Consider the following 20,019-nt stretch of genomic DNA (forward strand, 5'->3'; position numbering starts at 1 on the left):
AAGGAAAATTCAAGCTGGTATTTAATTCAGTCCCATTCAAAGACTGATGCTCATGACATTCCCTTCTCCACTCTACTACAATCCTAAGAATCATGGACCACTCACTGTACTTATTTGTAATGTAGGGACTGGGTTTATAAGTGTCCAAGTTATTGAAAATGGTTGTCCACAGAGTGTTTTTATTGCTGAGAAATGTCTTGGAGTTTGAGTTGATAATTGTCATTGGGAAGTCCACAGCTGATGACAAGAAAACATGTTAATACCATTCTTTAAGTTGGCTCCCACTTCTTTTTCTGATGATGGTGATTTAGGAGCTTGCCCAGGGTGCTAGGCAACCATGCTGTGCTGACTTTCTTCCTTTCACATGGTCTCTTCTGGTCAGATTTCCTTTATCATATGTCCTAGTTATCTCATCCCAAGTCCCAGTGACTCAGTTTCACACTGAAGCTAGGCAAATTTCCGCCTCTTTATCCCTTTTTTCCCCAATATATTGTTTATGGTATAAATGCTATGTTTGGTTCCTTCATTTCTTAGCCTTTAGGCATCCAATTGCTTTATTGTCCCAAAAAACTCTGAAAAGGATGTTCTATTTTTGTTTCAAGGCTGCAGTCTCTCTTCCCCAGTTGAAAATCTCAATGAATTTGCATTCCTTTTATTGGCCTATTCCCCTGGAGCATCTGAGTCAAAAAAAGGCAAGTTGGCAATAGGTTAGAGCCTTAGTTATTCTCTCTAAATTTGCTTTGGTGGAAAGCAAGCTGGAGGTGTAAAAAAGGGAGATGACAGCTTACTATAGCCTTTCCTCTCTCTTTTCCAGTTCCTGCCTGTGTTAGTCTATTTTGTATTGCTATAAATGGACACCTGAGACTGGGTATTTATAAAGAAAAGAGGTTTATTTGGCTCTTAGTTCTTCAGGCTGTGTAAGCTTGGCACAAACATCTGCCTGACTTCTGGTGATGTCTCAGGAAGCTTTTACTCACGGCAAAAGATGAAGGGGGAACAGACGTGTTACATGGAATGGCAAAAAAGGAGGCAAGAGAGCAAGAAAGAGGTCTTTTTAACTATCAGATCTCATGGGAACTAATAGAGAGAGAATTCACTCATTACCCTGAGGATGGAACCAAGCCATTCATGAGGGATCTACTGCCATGATCCAAACACCTCCCATTAGGCCCCACCTCCAACACTGGGGATCACATTTTATTTTTATTTTTTATTTATTTATTTTTGATTTTATTTTATTTATTTATTTTTTGTTGAGATGGAGTCTTGCTCTGTCGCCCAGGCTGGAGTGTAGTGGCACGATCTCAGCTGACTGCAAACTCCACCTCCTGGGTTCACGCCATTCTGCTGCCTCAGCCTCCCAAGTAGCTGGGACTACGGGAACCTGCCACCATGCCCGGCTAATTTTTTGTATTTGTAGTAGAGACAGGGTTTCACCGTGTTAGCCAGGATGATCTCGATTTCCTGACCTCATGATCCGCCCGCCTGGGCCTCCCTAAGTGCTGGGATTACAGGCGTGAGCCACCGCACCCGGCCTGGGGATCACATCTTAACATGAGATTTGAAGGGGACAAATATTCAAACCATATCACTGCCTTTTGTTATCTTATAACCAGACATGGTCTCTGGGACATTGTTAAAGAAATTATGAAGCAGAAAAAACTTTTGAAACTCAAGTTGGCTTCTAGAACATCTTTTCTTAGAATTAAAGAGGATGTGCTTACTCAGTTACAGTTGTTCTATACTACAATAGACATAGTAACAACCATTACTTGAACAACTGAGCAGATACCATATTTCATTTACTAAACTAATAACTTTAATAAATTAAAAAATAATGTCTTGAAGTACTGTTATGCACTAATATGTATCATTAAATGTACTTTAAAGATTATCATAGTGAAAGTTGGACAATATATATTTCTCAAGATCACGTAACTGACAAGTAGTATATTTGTAATTAGAAGCCAAATCTTTCTAACCTCAAACTCTTTCCTTAAAACACTAAATTATTCTTTCCTGCTTTTTAGCCTAAGCCTGCTCATAACAGCTTACTTCATACTCTAAGAAACATATAAAGTATAGTAATGTTTACTATACTCATAGTTTGTAAAGAAGGGAAGTGTTCAACAAAATGAACCTGGGAATGAAATAGAAACTTGTTATTGAAAAGATCTCCTTCCAACAAATTGAAGGTGGATGTCTTTTCTTTCTTGCCAGTTCAATAGAAAATCTTGCATTTTAAATATGTTTGCTACCCATAAATTTAGATTTACTTTTTGATTTTCATATGGTGTTTTAGGAATTTTGAAAATGTTGGATTTAAATAGAATATCTCTGTATTTGCCAAAATTTATCTAAAAGTTATTTTTTTCTAGAGAAGGCTTAGCCCACAAAAGTTCCAGCCAGTTCACAGAATCTCCTCATTTTAAAAAATTAACTATTCTCCATATGGAGATATATAAAAACATAAATTTACATTAGGTCTTGAGATAATTCAAGTAGTAGAATCTGAGAGTTGGCAGTGAGGTGAATGGAATGTTACTTTAGAACAGTTCTCAAGGAATAATTCTCCTAAAGATTAATTTCAATTTTAAATCAAACAAGTTTAAATGACTATGAGAGTATTGGGGGAAAGTCCAACATGGGCATATTCTCTGAGATGGGAGGTCATTTTGAGCAGCTTTCTTTTAGGATAGACACAAATTATTTGAATTTCAATCATAAAGACATAGTCATTAGAGGTTTATTTTAAATTTACTACTAACTAGTTGTGTTCTTTTTATGAAAAAAATAGTGATGGCATCTCATGTTGGTATTTCCTTTATGGGTTATGTGAGATAAAAATTGAATTCCATTTTGTAGTATCTTGATCAAACTTTGGTAGTTAACCATGAACCAAATAATAACGATACTACTACTACTACTTTTGTTAATAACAATAATAATAAAGATCCAATTTGAGTGATCCAAGAGAACACTGAAGTAGAAATACAGTTAACCAAGATATAATGTAATGTTAAAATTTGATCTTTTGTAAGAATATATTGTGAATATTAATATAATTATTTTTAAATAAACTCCTAAATTTTTCCATAATTTTTGAAATTATTTCAAATATTAACACTTAAAGCATTTATTCCATCTAATATCACTATGGTGCTATTTCATGACATTTACCATTTCAGAGCCATATGTGGTCAACCTTCATTTCATACTCTTATAGATAGCACCTTTTCAATTTATTTACTTGATAGAATAAAAGATGTGAGATCCGAGTGAAGGAATGTTTATATAGGAAACCAGTAACAAATTTCCAGCTACTCATCAAAGTGTTGTTATATAAATCAAAATGTTAAATCAACTAAAACTTAAAATTTAGGTCTTCTAAAAAAGGGAAAACCATTTTAAGGAACAAGAGTGATCCTATAAACCTCTTTAATAAATTCAGATTTAAAAGAGGTCAAAAAAAGTATGTGAAATTTGGGAGCAACGCAAGAAGATGGGCTGCACATCATTTCAATGTCACATGAATTAACATCTGTTCAACTATCATCTGCGTAAATATATACTTAGTTAACTCACTGTTTCGTATTAAGGAAAATTCCCAGATCTATTAAATTTACATGATAACTCATAGATTTTATACAGTAGCCCTTCAGATAATTTCTCTTCAGTGGAACAGATAACCCTGAAAATCGATGGCCCTATTAGACTTTAATTAACCATTTGTAGCTAATCTAGAAACTCAACTTGAAAACATGATTTAAACCAGTTGTCTTAGGTTGTTTGGGCTGCTGTAACAAAATCCTTTAAACTGGGTTATTAGTAAACAACAGAAATTTATTGTTCACAGTTCTGGATGCTGGAAAGTCCAAGATCAAGGCATCAGCAAATTTGATGTCTGGTGGGTGCTCATGCCTCATAGATGGTGCCTGCTATGTGTCCTCACATAGCTGAAGGGCAAAAGGGTAAACCAGCTCCCTCAGCCCTCTTTTGTAAAGACACCAATCCCATTCATGACGGCTCCACCTCACCACCTAGTCACTTTCCAAAGGAACTGCCTCTTAATACCAACATATTGGATACTTTATTGCAGCATACAAATTTTGGTGGCATATAAGCATTCAAACAATAGCATTGGTTGTAAAATCTTATGCTTCCCCCATTATATTGCCTGAAAAATGTAGGATAACAAAAATGAGTTTAAAAAACTCCATATATTACTTAGTTTCCTCCTGACTTTAAAAAGAATGGTATCTCAACTATATCAGACCATTAAGCCTTTTTCTCAAAAAAGTAATGTATTTTATTTTTATGGCGGTTTTAGGCTTACAGAAAAAAATTGAGCAGAAAGTACATATTGTACATAACTTCCTGCCTCCATATGGTTTCTCCTATTATTATCTTACATTTGTGTGGTACATTTCTTGTAACTGATGAACCAATATGGATATATTATTATTAACTAATGTCTATAGTTTACATTAGGGTTCACTCTTTGTGCTGTACTGTTCTATAGGTTTTGACAAATGCATAATGTCATGGATTCACCATTACAGGATCATATAGAATAGTCTTACTGCCCTAAAAAAAATCTTCTCTGTTACGTCTATTCATCTCTTCTTTCCTTCTTCCCTGAAATCTTGGCAACCATTGATCTCTTTGTTGGGTATTTTTACTTTTGTGGAATGTTACGTAGTTGGAATCATGTGGTACATAGCCTTTTCAGACTAGTTTCTTTTACTAATGAGCATTTAAGGCTCATCCATGTGTTTTTGTGGATTGGTAAATCACTTAAAAAATCACTGAATGATATTACACTGTATGGCTATTCCACGGTTTGTTCTTTCACCTATTGAAGGACATCTTGGTTGTCTCCAATTTTTGACAATATGAGTAAAGCTGCCATAAACATCTCTTGAATGTTTTTGTATGGACTCATTTTGGTAAATATCAATGAGTACAATCACTGGATAATTTGGAGATGATAGGTTATTTTATAAGAAATTGCCAAACTATTTTCCAAAGTGGTTGTAAGACTTTGCATTCCCACCAGAAATTAATGAGAGTTCCTGTTGACATATATCCTCACCAGCATTTGGTGTCACATTACTTCCCTTGAATAACAAACATTTTACAAAAATTCTCATTAATATCCTACGAAAATCGTGGATGAAATGTGTATAACCTAAAACAAAGAAAGTACATGTTCTATCACATAAAGGAAAAACATAAGTAACTTATTAAGCAATAATTTGTATCGCAATGTATAAGTGCTTGAGCTTGACTCAGCCTGATATTATCATGCAGAAATCAAATGCTTGTACTTAAACTACTATTGCTAAGAGTGTAAGAGCTATGAACACAGACTGATATGAGGAGATTTTATGAGTGATGCAAATATCACAAATACTGGTGGCACCAAAATGATGATTTTTCTGAAATCTGAAATAAACTTGGTAAAATTTCATTTGAAACAAAAGTCTCCTTTCAATTTATTAAGTACAGCGAGTGCTCACCTAAGGTCTTGGAAATGGCAACTTTAAGTAAAATAATGTATATTAAAACCAATTTTCCCATAAGCTAATTGATCTAAAGCTTTTATGGCATATTTCTGGTCACAAAAACATCACCAAACTTCTAAAGAAAGACCAAAATATTTCTGATATTAAACATTTAAAGAAATGTGAGCTATACGTACATTTAAGAAAGGTTAATAAAAACAAGTCAGATAATTATTTACCCAATTATTCCAGTTCAGGATACTGGGTAGCCAAAGCTTATCTGGGCAGCTTAGGATGCAAGGAAGGAACTCACCTTGAACAGGAAACCAATTCCATCACAGGGCACATTCACACACAGACCCACACTCACTCAGACCAGGAAAATTTAAACACCAATTCACCTACTATGCACATCTTTGGAATGTGGGATGAAGCCAGCGTACCTGGAGAAAACCCAGGAGGACATGGGGAGAATGGGCAAACTCCACACAGACAGAGGCCCTAGTGAAGTATCATTATTATTCTTTTCTCATCAATGTCATAATAAAACAACATTGAACTAGATGAAATTTTTTGAGGGCCTGCTATAATTTTCTTACTAAAAACTTCAAAGTATATTTGGAAATAAACATGCAAAAATAGTATATATTAATATGCAAGTGTAGCTAAGTCTTGAAATGTTAAAAATAGTCCTTTAACTTATAAAACCGTTTCCTAAAACATCTGAAAATATTCAGAGATGGGACTGCCCTATACAGAATATGGTGGCTAGTAACTCTAGCCCTAACCTATAAACTTCAACAGCTCAGCCCACCTGTGTAACAACCAAAATTCCTCTTAGGCTTACAAAACATGCTAGTTTGGGCTACAGTACTCCACTGACTTGTATCATATTGAGTAGGACAAATTTAATAATTGCAAAGTATACTTATAAGCATATAAAATCTTGAAGAAGGTTTAAATCTGAAAATTTAGATATAGTGAAAAGGCAATTTGATTTCAGTGCAATTGACTCAAAATTTATGATTTTATGTTGGTCTGAAATAACATCTTTCCTAATGTGATCAGGTTGAGATTGTATTTTCTTACTGTATTTACTACAATTGTCCTTCCGTTCTTTTTTCCTCTTTATTCCAGGTGACTCTATTCCATACTTTCATTAATAGGACTCTAAATCTTTACTAAATATTATTTCAAATATTTTTGAAGACAATTTTACCTTGAGATCTACTGTGTTTTTAAAGTTTTATTTTTTGGTCTTCAGATAATACTATAAGTCATGAAAAAAATCACATTTTTAGGGAATAAAATAATATGATTAATGCAAATTTTGGAGGACATTTATCATTTTGAATCTTATGTAACCAATCAGGAAATATATGTAGTAAACATTACAAATAAACAGGAAAGAAGCTGTTAGAGATTTCTAGGTTGAATGTAGGAAAGCTTCTACTTAATGTGATGACATGAACATAACATAAGAGAAAGGAATGAAAAAACATAGTAAAAAAGCTTTGGGGAAGTAGGAATTACAGGATTTATCTATGAGGGTGAGCGTGCAATAGATAGATAATGATTATGAGCTACCTGGACTAATTTCTGGGGATATGGTAGTAATTAAGAAGTCAAGAGTAGAAGCAAGTTTGGAAGATAACAAACTTGGTTATTTACTCTTGAGGTTATCAACTAGATTGGGAACCTAAACAATATTCTAAGAATAAGAAATAATAAAAGTATGGTATTTGTTCTAAATGTCTCTCCATCTGTTCGATTGAGTTTCTAGACGAAAACATCCAGCAGTCAGTTAGAATTCATAATTATAATTCTAGGGAGATGTCAGAATTCTATTATGATACATTTTAAAGCTAAAACATATGATTGGAATTTAATTATTTGTATATTTTAGGACCTAATATCATTTAGTAAAGAAAAAAGCAGCACCATTTAAAAAGTTGTCTTATATATTCACCTTACATTGTGGGTACAGATACAGTCTTCTAAACCGATGATTTCTAAGAGTATAAAGAAAACATAATGTGTAGTTTATACTACTGAGATGTGTAGTTTATACTACTGAGATGTGTCTCTGTAGTATATTTTCTAATTTAAAAAATTATATCATTTAAAAAGTTATACCTGGAATGACACAAAATGAAGGACATAGAATTTTAAAAGCAACCTATGCATTGTGATTTTAAAAAAATCAGAGGTTCAAAATAAATTATTCTTTTACATAGCTATAAGGTTATTATTTGATACTATAGTACTTTCTAATTTTAATTTAATTTTTTTCTTTTTTCGATACATGATATTTTACATATTTATGGTATACATATGAGTATTTGTTACATGCATAAAACGTATAATAAAGTCAGAGTATTTGGGATAGCAATCGCCTTGAGTATTTATCATTTCTATAGGTTGGTAGCAATTCATGTCCTCTCTTCTAGCTGCATTATACAAAAATCCAATATATTGTTGATATTTGTCTCTTAGGTGAATTTCTCTTTACATCCTGAACTGTTTTTCTATTTTATTTTTATTGTTTATCAGAATTTTCTTACATCCCATTGAAATTCTTTAGTGTAAATATTTGAATTCTTTTTCTGGGATTTTTAAAATTTGTTTTTGATTGAGATCTTTTGCTGGAGAATTATTGTATTCCTTTGGAGGTGTCATATTTCTTTGCTTTTTCATGTGTCTTATGTCTTTATGTTGGTATCTGTGCATCTGGTGAAATGGTTGCTTCTTCCAATTTTTCAAAGTTTTTTTTTTTTTTCACAAGGGCAAACAACTTCCTAAAGATGTGTCTGTGGTATTGGTTGGGTAGGACAGTGTGACTTTGATTCTGGGTGCACAAAGTGGTGTACTATATATATAATTTCTTTTGCAGCAAACAGATTCAGGGTTGTCTTATAATTTCTTTGGTAGCATAGTTGTGGTTATTAGTGGATGCCGCAATGATGTTTTGCTGGAGATGGGGATACCACATAGGCCAGTTTTTGGGACATGGGGGGTGGCAGTGGTTGGCTAAGTGTACCTGTCTTTTGGGCCTCTGAGTGGTGTATGTGGTGTATGTGTAGGGGGTCCAGGCAAGTCTATTCTTTGGCTTCCAGATCCTTACTCAGAAGTCAATGGTGGCAGTGGTATGCTGGGCAGGTAGATGTGTTCTTTGGCCTCTGGACTGCCAAGTTTAGCAGGGTAATGTTAGTGGTAGTGGCCACTGGCCTTTTGGCTCCCAAGTGATGTGTTTTTGTGTTCGCAGTGGCTGTAATGGGCTGAGCAAGCCAGTCTCCAGGCCAGCAGGTGGCACGTTCAGATAGGTGTAAACTGTGGTGGTGGCAGCAGGGTGGGTAGTCCCATCCTCCATCTGCCAGGAGAAATGGTTATGTGCCAATGGTGATTGATTGGGCTGAGCAATCCTCTGGCCCCTAGACTGTATGTCCTGGAATGTGTGGGGTATGAAGCCAAGTCAGGTGGGGTTGTTCTCAGGCATCCCAAAGGTGTATGCAAGTGCTAGCTGTGTTGGGAAGGTCAAGACTATTCCCCAGCCACCAGAAGAATGTTCAGGTGAGGGGATAGTAATAGCTGTTTTGCTGCCTTGACACTGAGGAGGGTGGAGCTAAATTCACCAGTGGCACTCTAGCCTGGAACATGTAGAATTAACACACAGCTTAGGCCTCAGTGCTGTAATGCTTGCGCCTCAGCTCCTATGGCAGTAGCCCATGTCTAAGTTGCACTTCAGCCCAAGCTGCAGCAGTCTGTGCCTTGCTCATGCCTCAGCTCCAGGGGCAGCAGCCCTTGCTTCTCTTGAGCCTCAGCCCCAGTGCCACTGGGCCCTAGGATTGTGTGGACTCTGTTGAGGACACGGCTGTAAAATGGCACCTTATGTTAGCTGCTTAGGTTTTAACAAGTGTATAGAACCCAGCATGAGATCTCTTCCTGGCACAGTGCCATTGCACAATCTCTTAGCATGTTCCGATGTTAAATTCACAACCTGCAAGGATTGAGGGGCTCTCCTGTGGCTAAGATTACAGGAGTGCACAGTTGGAATGTGGACTACTGAGGTTCTCTCACTTACCCTTTGTCCACATTGGGGAGTCAGTCTCAGCTGCAGCCAGTCTTGGATGACCATGCTGCCTCCTTTCCTCTCCTACATTGCTTTAGGCATTTCCTGTCACTTTTCTATTGAATTACTGTGTTTACCTTGGGTGAGCTATTCAAAGTGTGATTATCTACTCACTATTTTACTTCTTTCTACTGGAGGGGCGAGTATGAAATGATTCTAGTCAGCTCACTTGAAGCCTGATGATAAATTTTAAAAATTGAAATCACAGAAATGCACAATTTTTCCAAAGAAGAAAACAAAACGAAAAAAAGAGAATCACATTTAGAAATTTAGGGAATGCCTAAATTCAAGGCAAGAAGATAAGGAGGACTTAAGGACCTTCATCATTGAATTACATTTGGTTGAACATCAGTTTGCAACAATCCTTATCTGGAATACGGGATATTGGGTAATCACAGATACAAACAGGAGATCACAGTGAAAAAGGCTAATCTTGTTTGGGGTGGGGATAGGCATAAAAGAGTTGGAGAAGATTTTCTAGTGTGTTAGATAGCAAAATGTAGTTTGAAAAAGTATGTTGAAAAATTGATGGAAACAAAGATGGCTGACTAGATGGAGCCAGGAATATCTTCTTCCAGTGAGAGACCAGGTTACCAAGAAGACGAGCACACTCTGGACAGATCTATGGAAGGAAGGCATTGAGAGTGGATACAGGGACAACATAGACCCTGCACTGAAGTGGGAGAAAGCTAGGAACATTGTATATGGTTGTCAACCACCAGGACTCCTTCTTGGCCTCAAGTGACTCCTGAAAAAGGTGTGAGTTTGAAAGGTGTGGAGTGGCCCACCCTCACCATGGACTTCCAGAATCCTAGCTGCAGGAGACCCCATGACCCCCACAGACATTTGAGCAGACAGAAAAAGCTGCTTGGACAGTTGGAAGGAACAGGACTCCAGCCAGTGGAGAACCCAGAGGATTTGATGCAGGAATGGCTGAAGTGGAGCACAGCCAGGGACGCCCATCTCCCAAGTCTTGCCACATTCCTCTAGGTGGCTTTGCCCTTTGTTGACTGTCAGATCTGGACAGAACAGGGCCCTCTTACCTTTGGGATGGGGCCAGTCTGATCTGAGTGTCCTTCTATCTGCTAGCCTCTCCCAGGCTCCTGCCTGGTCGCATTCACTTGTGGCAGTTTCAGATGCCCAACAAGGTGCTTCCCAGAGGCCACTGCCATAGCTCCTCCACAAGTAACCCCTCCTGTCAGAGAGCTTCTGCAGATGGGCCTCCACTGGCTCACATGCATCCACAGCATCCCTCCACGACTTTGCCAACATGCACTTGCCTACAGCCACCTCCCACCATTTTGCTTATATTAGCCATCACTGCGCCAAAGAAGCATTCTTGCCAGCACCCCTGCCCCCGCCAACCAGAGTGTTGTTGCCAGGGGACCAGGAACATTTCTGTCTCTCCAGCGCAGCGGGTGCTTAAGCTCGAGGGCCAGAGAACAGAGCTGTGGGCCAGTTCTCAACCCTCCAGTGTAAGATCACACAGCTCAGGAGTGCTGAACTAAGCTTTGTCCCCCTGAAATCATCCAGAAATTAAGCCAATCTAGTGAGTGCAAAATCGAACACAGTCAAACACTCAAAAGCATCAAAGAATACACTTGCAAAAAGCCCCATTCAAAGGACAACAACTTCAAAGATTAAAGGAACTTAACCCCAGCCCACACTTATGAGAAAGAACTAGTATAAGAATCCCAGAAACTCAAAAAGCCAGAGTGTCTTCTTGTTTCCAAAAAACTGCACCTATTCCCCAGGAACGGTTTATAACCAGACCAAAATGACTAAAATGACCAACATAGAATTCAGAATCTGTATCGTAACAAAGATCATTGAGACTCAGGAGACAGTTGAAACCCAATGCAAAGAATCAAAGGAATTCGATAAAATAATATAAACCCCGAAAAACAAAAATAGCCATTTTAAGAAAGTATCAACCTTGTAATAATCAGCAATCTTGAGCATTTTTTCATATGTTTGTTGGCCACATAAATGTCTTCTTTTAGGAAGTGTCTGTTCATATCCTGTACTCACTATTTGATGGGGATCTTTTTTCTTGTAAATATGTTTAAGTTCCTTGTAAATTCTGGATGTTAGACTTTTGTCAGATGGGTAGATTGCAAAAATTTTCTCCAAATCTGTAAGTTGCCTGTTCACTCTGATGATAGTTTCTTTTGCTGTATAGAAGATTTTTAGTTTAGATTCCATTTGTCAATTTTGGCTTTTGTTGCAATTGCTTTTGGCATTTTCATCATGAAGACTTTGCCCATGCCTATGTCCTGAATGGTGTTGCGTAGATTTTCTTCTAGGGTTTTTATGGTTTGGGGTTTTATGTTTAAGTTTTTTTTCTTTAATTTATTGTTATTATTATGCTTTAAGTTCTAGGGTACATGTGCACAATGTGCAGGTTTGTTACATATGTATACATGTGCCATGTTGGTGTGCTGCACCCATTAACTCATCATTTATATTAGGTATATCCCCTAATGCTATCCCTCCCCCCTCCCACCACCCCATGACAGGCCCCCGTGTGTGATGTTCCCCACCCTGTGTCCCAGTGTTGTCATTGTTCAATTCCCACCTATGAGTGAGAACATGCAGTGTTTGGTTTCCTGTCCTTGTGATAGTTTGCTTAGAATGATGGTTTCTAGCTTCATCCATGTCCCTACAAAGGACATGAACCCATTATTTTTATGGCTGCATAGTATTCCATGGTGTATATGTGCCACGTTTTCTTAATCCAGTCTATCATTGATGGACATGTGGGTTGAGTCCAAGCCTTTGCTATTGTGAATAGTGCTGCAATAATCATATGTGTGCATGTGTCTTTATAGAAGCATGATTTATAATCCTTTGGGTATATACCCAGTAATGGGATGGCTGGGTCAAATGGTATTTCTAGTTCTAGATCCTTGAGGAATTGCCACACTGTCTTCCACAATGGCTGAACTATTTTACAGTCCCACCAACGTGTAAAAGTGTTCCTATTTCTCCACATCCTCTCCAGCACCTGTTGTTTCCTGGCTGCTTAACGATCAGCATCTAACTGGTGTGAGATGGTATCTCATTGTGGTTTTGATTTGCATTTCTCTGATGGCCAGTGATGATGAGCATTTTTTCATGTGTCTGTTGGCTGCATAAATGTCTTCTTTTGAGAAGTGTCTGTTCATATCCTGTGCCCGGTTTTTGATGGGGTTGTTTTATTTTTTCTTGTAAATCTGTTTAAGTTCTTTGTAGATTCTGGATATTAGCCCTTTGTCAGATGAGTAGGTTGCGAAAATTTTCTCCCATTCTGTAGATTGCCTGTTCACTCTGACAGTAGTTTCTTTTGCTGTGCAGAAGCTCTTTAGTTTAATTAGATCCCATTTGTCAATTTTGGCTTTTGTTGCCATTGCTTTTGGTGTTTTAGTCATGAAGTCCTTGCCCATGCCTATGTCCTGAATGGTATTGCCTAGGTTTTCTTCTAGGGTTTTCATAGTTTTAGATCTAACATTTAAGTCTTTAATCCATCTTGAATTAATTTTTATATAAGATGTAAGGAAGGGATCCAGTTTCAGCTTTCTACATATGGCTAGCCAGTTTTTCCAGCACCATTTATTACATAGGGAATCCTTTCCCCGTTTCTTGTTTTTGTCAGGTTTGTCAAAGATCAGATGGTTGTAGATGTGTGGTATTATTTCTGAGGCTTCTCTTCTGTTCCATTGGTCTATATCTCTGTTTTGGTACCAGTGCCATGCTGTTTTGGTTACTATAGCCTTATAGTATAGTTTGAAGTCAGGTAGCGTGATGCCTCCAGCTTTGTTCTTTTGGCTTAGGATTTTCTTGGCAATGTGGGCTCTTTTTTGGTTCCATATGAACTTTAAAGTAGTTTTTTCCAATTCTGTGAAGAAAGTCATTGGTAGCTTGATGGGGATGGCATTGAATCTATCCATTACCTTGGACAGTATGGCCATTTTCATGATATTGATTCTTCCTATCAATGAGCATGGAATGTTCTTTCATTTGTTTGTGTCCTCTTTTATTTCACTGAGCAGTGGTTTGTAGTTCTCCTTGAAGACATCCTTCATATCCCTTGCAACTTGGATTCCTAAGTATTTTATTCTCTTTGAAGCAATTGTGAATGGTAGTTCACTCATAATTTGGCTCTCTGTTTGTCTGTTATTGGTGTATAGGAATGCTTGTGATTTCTGCACATTGATTTTGTATCCTGAGACTTTGCTATAAAGTTGCTTATCAGCTTAAGGAGATTTTGGGCTGAGACAATAGAGTTTTCTAAATATACAATCATGTCATCTGCAAAAGAGTCAATTTGACTTCCTCTTTTCCTTATTGAATACCATTTATTTCTTTCTCCTGCCTGATTGCCCTGGCCAGAACTTCCAACACTATGTTGAATAGGATTGGTGAGAGAGGGAATCCCTGTCTTGTGCCAGTTTTCAAAGGGAATGCTTCCAGTTTTTGCCCATTCAGTATGATATTGCCTGTAGGTTTGTCATAAATAGCTCTGATTATTTTGAGATATGTCCCATCAATATGTTGTTTATTGAGAGTTTTTAGCATGAAGGTTTGTTGAATTTTGTCAAAGGCATTTTCTGCATCTATTGAGATAATCATGTGGTTTTTGTCTTTGGTTCTGTTTATATGATGGATTACGTTTATTGATTTGTGTATGTTGAACCAGCCTTGCATCCCAGGGATGAAGCCAACTTGATCATGGTGGATAAGCTTTTTGATGTGCTGCTGGATTCAGTTTGCCAGTATTTTACTGAGGATTTTTGCATCGATGTTCGTCAGGGATATTGGTATAAAATTCTCTTTTTTTGTTGTGTCTCTGTCAGGCTTTCATATCAGGATGATGCTGGCCTCATAAAATGAGATAGGGAGGATTCCCTCTTTTTCTATTGATTGGAATAGTTTCAGAAGGAATGGTACCAGCTCTTCTTTGTACCTCTGGTAGAATTCGGCTATGAATCCGTTTGGTCCTGGACTTTTTTTAGTTGGTAGGCTTTTAATTATTGCCTCAATTTCAGAACCTGTTATTGGTCTATTCAGGGATTCAACTTCTTCCTGGTTTAGTCTTGGGAGGATGTATGTGTCCAGGAATTTATCCATTTCTTCTAGATTTTCTAGTTTATTTGTGTAGAGGTGTTTATAGTATTTTCTGAGGATAATTTGTATTTCTGTGGGATCACTGGTGATATCCCCTTTATCATTTTTTATTGTGTCTATTTGATTCTTCTCTCTTTTCTTCTTTATTAGTCTTGCTAGCCGTCTATCAATTTTGTTGATCTTTTCAGAAAACCAGCTCCTGGTTTCACTGATTTTTTGAAGGGTTTTTTGTGTCTCTATCTCCTTCAGTTCTGCTCTGATCTTAGTTATTTCTTGCCTTCTGCTAGCTTTTCAATTTGTTTGCTCTTGCTTCTCTAGTTCTTTTAATTGTGATGTTAGGGTGTCAATTTTAGATCTTTCCTGCTTTCTCTTGTGGGCATTTAGTGCTATAAATTTCCCTCACACACTGCTTTAAATGTGTCCCAGAGATTCTGGTATGTTGTGTCTTTGTTCTCATTGGTTTCAAAAAACATCTTTATTTCTTTTATTTCTGCCTTCATTTCGTTATGTACCCAGCAGTCATTCAGGAGCAGGTTGTTCAGTTTCCATGTAGTTGAACAATTTTAAGTGAGTTTCTTAATGCTGAGTTCTAGTTTGATTGCACTGTGGTCTGAGATACAGTTTGTTACAATTTCTGTTCTTTTACATTTGCTGAGGAGTGCTTTACTTCCAACTATGTGGTCAATTTTGGAATAAGTGTGTTGTGGTGCTGAGAAGAATGTATACTCTGTTGATTTGGGGTGGAGAGTTCTATAGATGTCTATTAGGTCTGCTTAGTGCAGAGCTGAGTTCAATTCCTGGATATCCTTGTTAACTTTCTGTCTCATTGATCTGTCTAATGTTGACAGTGGGGTGTTAAAGTCTCCCATTATTATTGTGCGGGACTCTAAGTCTCTTTGTAGGTCTCTAAGGGCTTGCTTTATGAATGTGGGTGCTCTGTATTGGGTGCATATATATTTAGTATAGTTAGCTCTTCTTGTTGAATTGATTCCTTTACCATTATGTAAAGGCCTTCTTTGTCTCTTTTGATCTTTGTTGGTTTAAAGTCTGTTGTATCAGAGACTAGGATTGCAACCCCTGCTTTTTTTTGTTTTCCATTTGCTTGGTAGATGTTCCTCCATCCCTTTATTTTAAGCCTATGTGTGTCTTTGCATGTGAAATGGGTCTCCTGAATACAGCACAGTGATGGGGCTTTACTCTTTATCCAATTTGCCAGTCTGTGTCTTTTAATTGGAGCATTTAGCCCATTTACATTTAAGGTTAATATTGTTATGTGTGAATTTGATCTTGTCATTATGATGTTAGCTGGTTATTTTGCTTGTTAGTTGATGCAGTTTCTTTCTAGCATTGATAGTCTTTACAATTTGGCATGTTTTTGCAGTGGCTCGTACAAGTTTTTCCTTTCCATGTTTAGTGCTTCCTTCAGGAGCTCTTGTAAGGCAGGCCTGGTGGTGACAAAATCTCTCAGCATTTGTTTGTTTGCAAAGGATTTTATTTCTCCTTCACTTATGAAGCTTAGTTTGGCTGGATATGAAATTCTGGGTTGAAAATTTTTTCCTTTAAGAATGTTGAATATTGGCCCCCATTCTTTCCTGGCTTGTAGAGTTTCTGCTGAGAAATCTGCTGTTAGTCTGATGGGCTTCCCTTTGTGGGTAACACAACCTTTCTCCCTGGCTGCCCTTAACATTTTTTCCTTCATTTCAACTTTGGTGAATCTGACAATCATGTGTCTTGGAGTTGCTCTTCTCAAGGAGTATCTTTGTGGTGTTCTCTGTATTTCCTGAATTTGAATGTTGGCCTGCCTTGCTAGGTTGGGGAAGTTCTCCTGGATAATATCCTGAAGAGTGTTTTCCAACTTGATTCCATTCTCCTCATCACTTTCAGGTACACCAATCAGACGTAGATTTGGTCTTTTCACGTGGTCCCATATTTCTTGGAGGTTTGTTCATTTCTTTTTACTCTTTTTTCTCTAAACTTCTCTTCTCACTTCATTTCATTCATTTGATCTTCAATCACTGATACCCTTTCTTCCACTTGATCAAATCGGCTACTGAAGCTTGTGCATGCGTCACGTAGTTCTCGTGCCATGGTTTTCAGCTCCATCAGGTCATTTAAGGTCTTCTCTACACTGTTTATTCCAGTTAGCCATTCATCTAATCTTTTTTCAAGGTTTTTAGCTTCTTTGCGATGGGTTCAAACATCCTCTTTTAGTTCAGAGAAGTTTGTTATTATTGATCGTCTAAAGACTTCTTCTCTAAACTCGTCAAAGTCATTCTCCATCCAGCTTTTTTCCATTGCTGGTGAGGAGCTGTGTTCCTTTGGAGGAGAAGAGGTGCTCTGAGTTTTAGAATTTTCAGCTTTTCTGCCCTGGTTTCTCCCCATCTTTGTGGTTTTATATACCTTTGGTCTTTGATGATGGTGAAGTACAGATGGGGTTTTGGTGTGGCTGCCCTTTCTGTTTGTTAGTTTTCCTTCTAACAGTCAGGACCCTCAGCTGCAGGTCTGTTTGAGTTTGGTGGAGGTCCACTCTAGACGCTGTTTGCCTGGGTATCACCAGTGGAAGCTGCAGAGCAGCAAATATTGCAGAATGGCAAATATTGCTGTCTGATCCTTCCTCTGGAAGCTTCATCTCAGAGGGGCACCTGGCTGTATGAAGTGTCAGTTGGCCCCTACTGGGAGGTGTCTCCCAGTAAGGCTACTCGGGGTTCAGGGACCCACTTGAGGAGGCAGTCTGTCAGTTCTCAGGTTTCAAACTGTGTGCTGGGAGAACTGCTACTCTCTTCAAAGCTGTCAGACAGGGATGTTTAATCCTGCAGAAGTTTCTGCTGCCTTTTCTTCAGCTATGCCCTGCCCGCAGAGGTGGAGTCTACAGAGGCAGGCAGGCCTCCTTGAACTGCAGTGGGCTCCACCCAGTTCGAGCTTCCCAGCCACTTTGTTTACCTACTCAAGCCTCAACAATGGCAGACGCCCCTCCCCCAGCCTTGCTACCACCTTGCAGTTCAATCTCAGACTGCTGTGCTAGCAGTGAGTGAGGCTCTGTGGGCGTGGGACCCTCCGTGCCAGGCACGGGATAAAATATCCTAGTGTGCTGTTTGCTTAGTTGGAAATACAGAAAACACCCGTCTTCTGTGTCGCTCATGCTGGGAGTTGTAGACTGGAGCTGTTCCTATTTGACCATCTTGGAACCTTTGTCCTATATTTAAGTTTTTAATCCATTCTGAGTCAATTTTTTTATAAGGTGTAAGGAAGGTGTCCAGTTTCAGTTTTCTGCATATGGCTAGACAGTTTTCCCTGCATCATTTACTGAATAGGAGATCTTTTCCCCATTGGTTGTTTTTGTCAGGTTCATCGAAGGTCAGATGGTTGTAGATGTGTGGTATTATTTCTGAGGTCTCTGTTCTGCTCCATTGGTCTATATGTCTGTTTTGGTACCAGTAACACGCTGTTTTGGTTACTGTAGTCTTCTAGTACAGTTTGAAGTCAGGTAGCATGATGCCTCCAGCTCTGTTCTTTTTGCTTAGGATGGTCTTGGCTATACATGGTCTTCTTTGCAGGAACATGGATAAAGGTCCTTTGCAGCAACATGGATAAAGCTGGAAGCCATCATCCTCAGCAAACTAACACAGGAACAGAAAACCAAACAGTGCATGTTCTGACTCATAAGTGGGAGTTGAATATTGAGAACCCATGGACACAAGGCAGGGAACAACACACACCAGAGCCTGTTGGGGGATGGGGGGTGAGTGGAGGGAACTTAGAAGATAGGTCAATAGGTGTAGCAAACCACCAAGGCACATGTATACCTCCATAACAAACCTGCACATTCTGCACACATATTGCATTTTTTTTAGAAGAAATAAAAATGAAAATTAAAAACAAACAAACAAAGTAAAAAAAGAAAGTACCAGCCTTATCTAATAGACCTGAAAACCTCACTGCAAGAATTTCATAATACACTCAGAAATATTAACAGCGGACTAGACCAAGCTGAGGGAAGAATGTCAGCGCTCAAAGACTGGCTTTTAGAATCAACTCAATCAAACAAAAAATGAAGAATAAATAATGAACAAAGCCTCTGAGAAATATGAGATTATGTAAAAAAACCAAACCTATGACTCCTTGGCATCCATGAAAGGGAGAAAGAAAGAGCAAGCAACTTGGAAATATATTTGAAGACAGTGTCCATAAAAGTTTACGCAAGCTCACTAGAGAGATCAACATTCAAATTCAGGAAATTTAGAGAAGCCTTGTGAAATACCCTACAAGACAACCATACCCAAGACACATATTCATCAGGTTCTTCAAGGTCAACATGAAAGAAAAAATATAAAAGGCAGCTAGAAAGAAGGGGCAGGTTACCTACAAAGCAAACCCCATCATGCTAACAGTGGACCTTTCAACTGAAACCCTGCAAGCCAGAAAAGACTGTGGACCTATATTCAGCATCCTTAAAGAAAATAAATTGCAACCAATAATTTCATATCCAACCAAACTAAGCTTCATAAATGAAGGTGAAATAAAATCCTTTTCAGACTAAGAAATGCTAAGGAATTTGCTACCACCACACCAGCCTTACAACAGGTCCTTAATGGAGAGCTGAATATGGAAACAAAAGAGTGTTACCAGCCACCACAAGGACACATAGATGAAAGACACATAGACAAGTACATAGACGATTGACACTATGAAATAACTGCACAATAAATTCTATATAACAACCAACTAGCATGAAAGGATGAAATACACACATATCAATATTAACCTTGAACATATATGGGCTAAACACCCCACTTAAATTTTAGAGTGGCAAGTTGTAGAAAGAAACAAGACCCAACTGTGTGCTGCCTTCAAGAAATCCATCTCATATGCAATGACACCCATAGACTCAAAATAAAGGGACAGAGAAAAATCTACTAAGCAAGTGAAAAACAAAAAAGAGCTTGGGTTGCTATTCTTATTTCAGAAAAAAACAGACTTTAAAGCATCAACAAGAAAAGAGAAGAAAGAAGGGAATTATGTAATGATAAACGGTTCAATTCAATAAGAAGACTTAACTATCCTAAATATATATATATACCCAACATGGGAGCCCCAGATTCATAAAACAAGTTCTTAGAGACCTACAAAGATAGTTAGATAACAATACAATAATAGTGGGAGATTTCAACACTCCACTGTCCAATATTAGACAGATCATTGAGCAAGAAAACTAATGAAGTTATTCAGAACCCAGATTTGACACTTAACCAAATGGACCTAATAGACATCTATAGAACA

Source organism: Homo sapiens, chromosome 4 (assembly GCF_000001405.40).
Source record: "Homo sapiens chromosome 4, GRCh38.p14 Primary Assembly".
Taxonomy (NCBI): domain Eukaryota; kingdom Metazoa; phylum Chordata; class Mammalia; order Primates; family Hominidae; genus Homo; species Homo sapiens.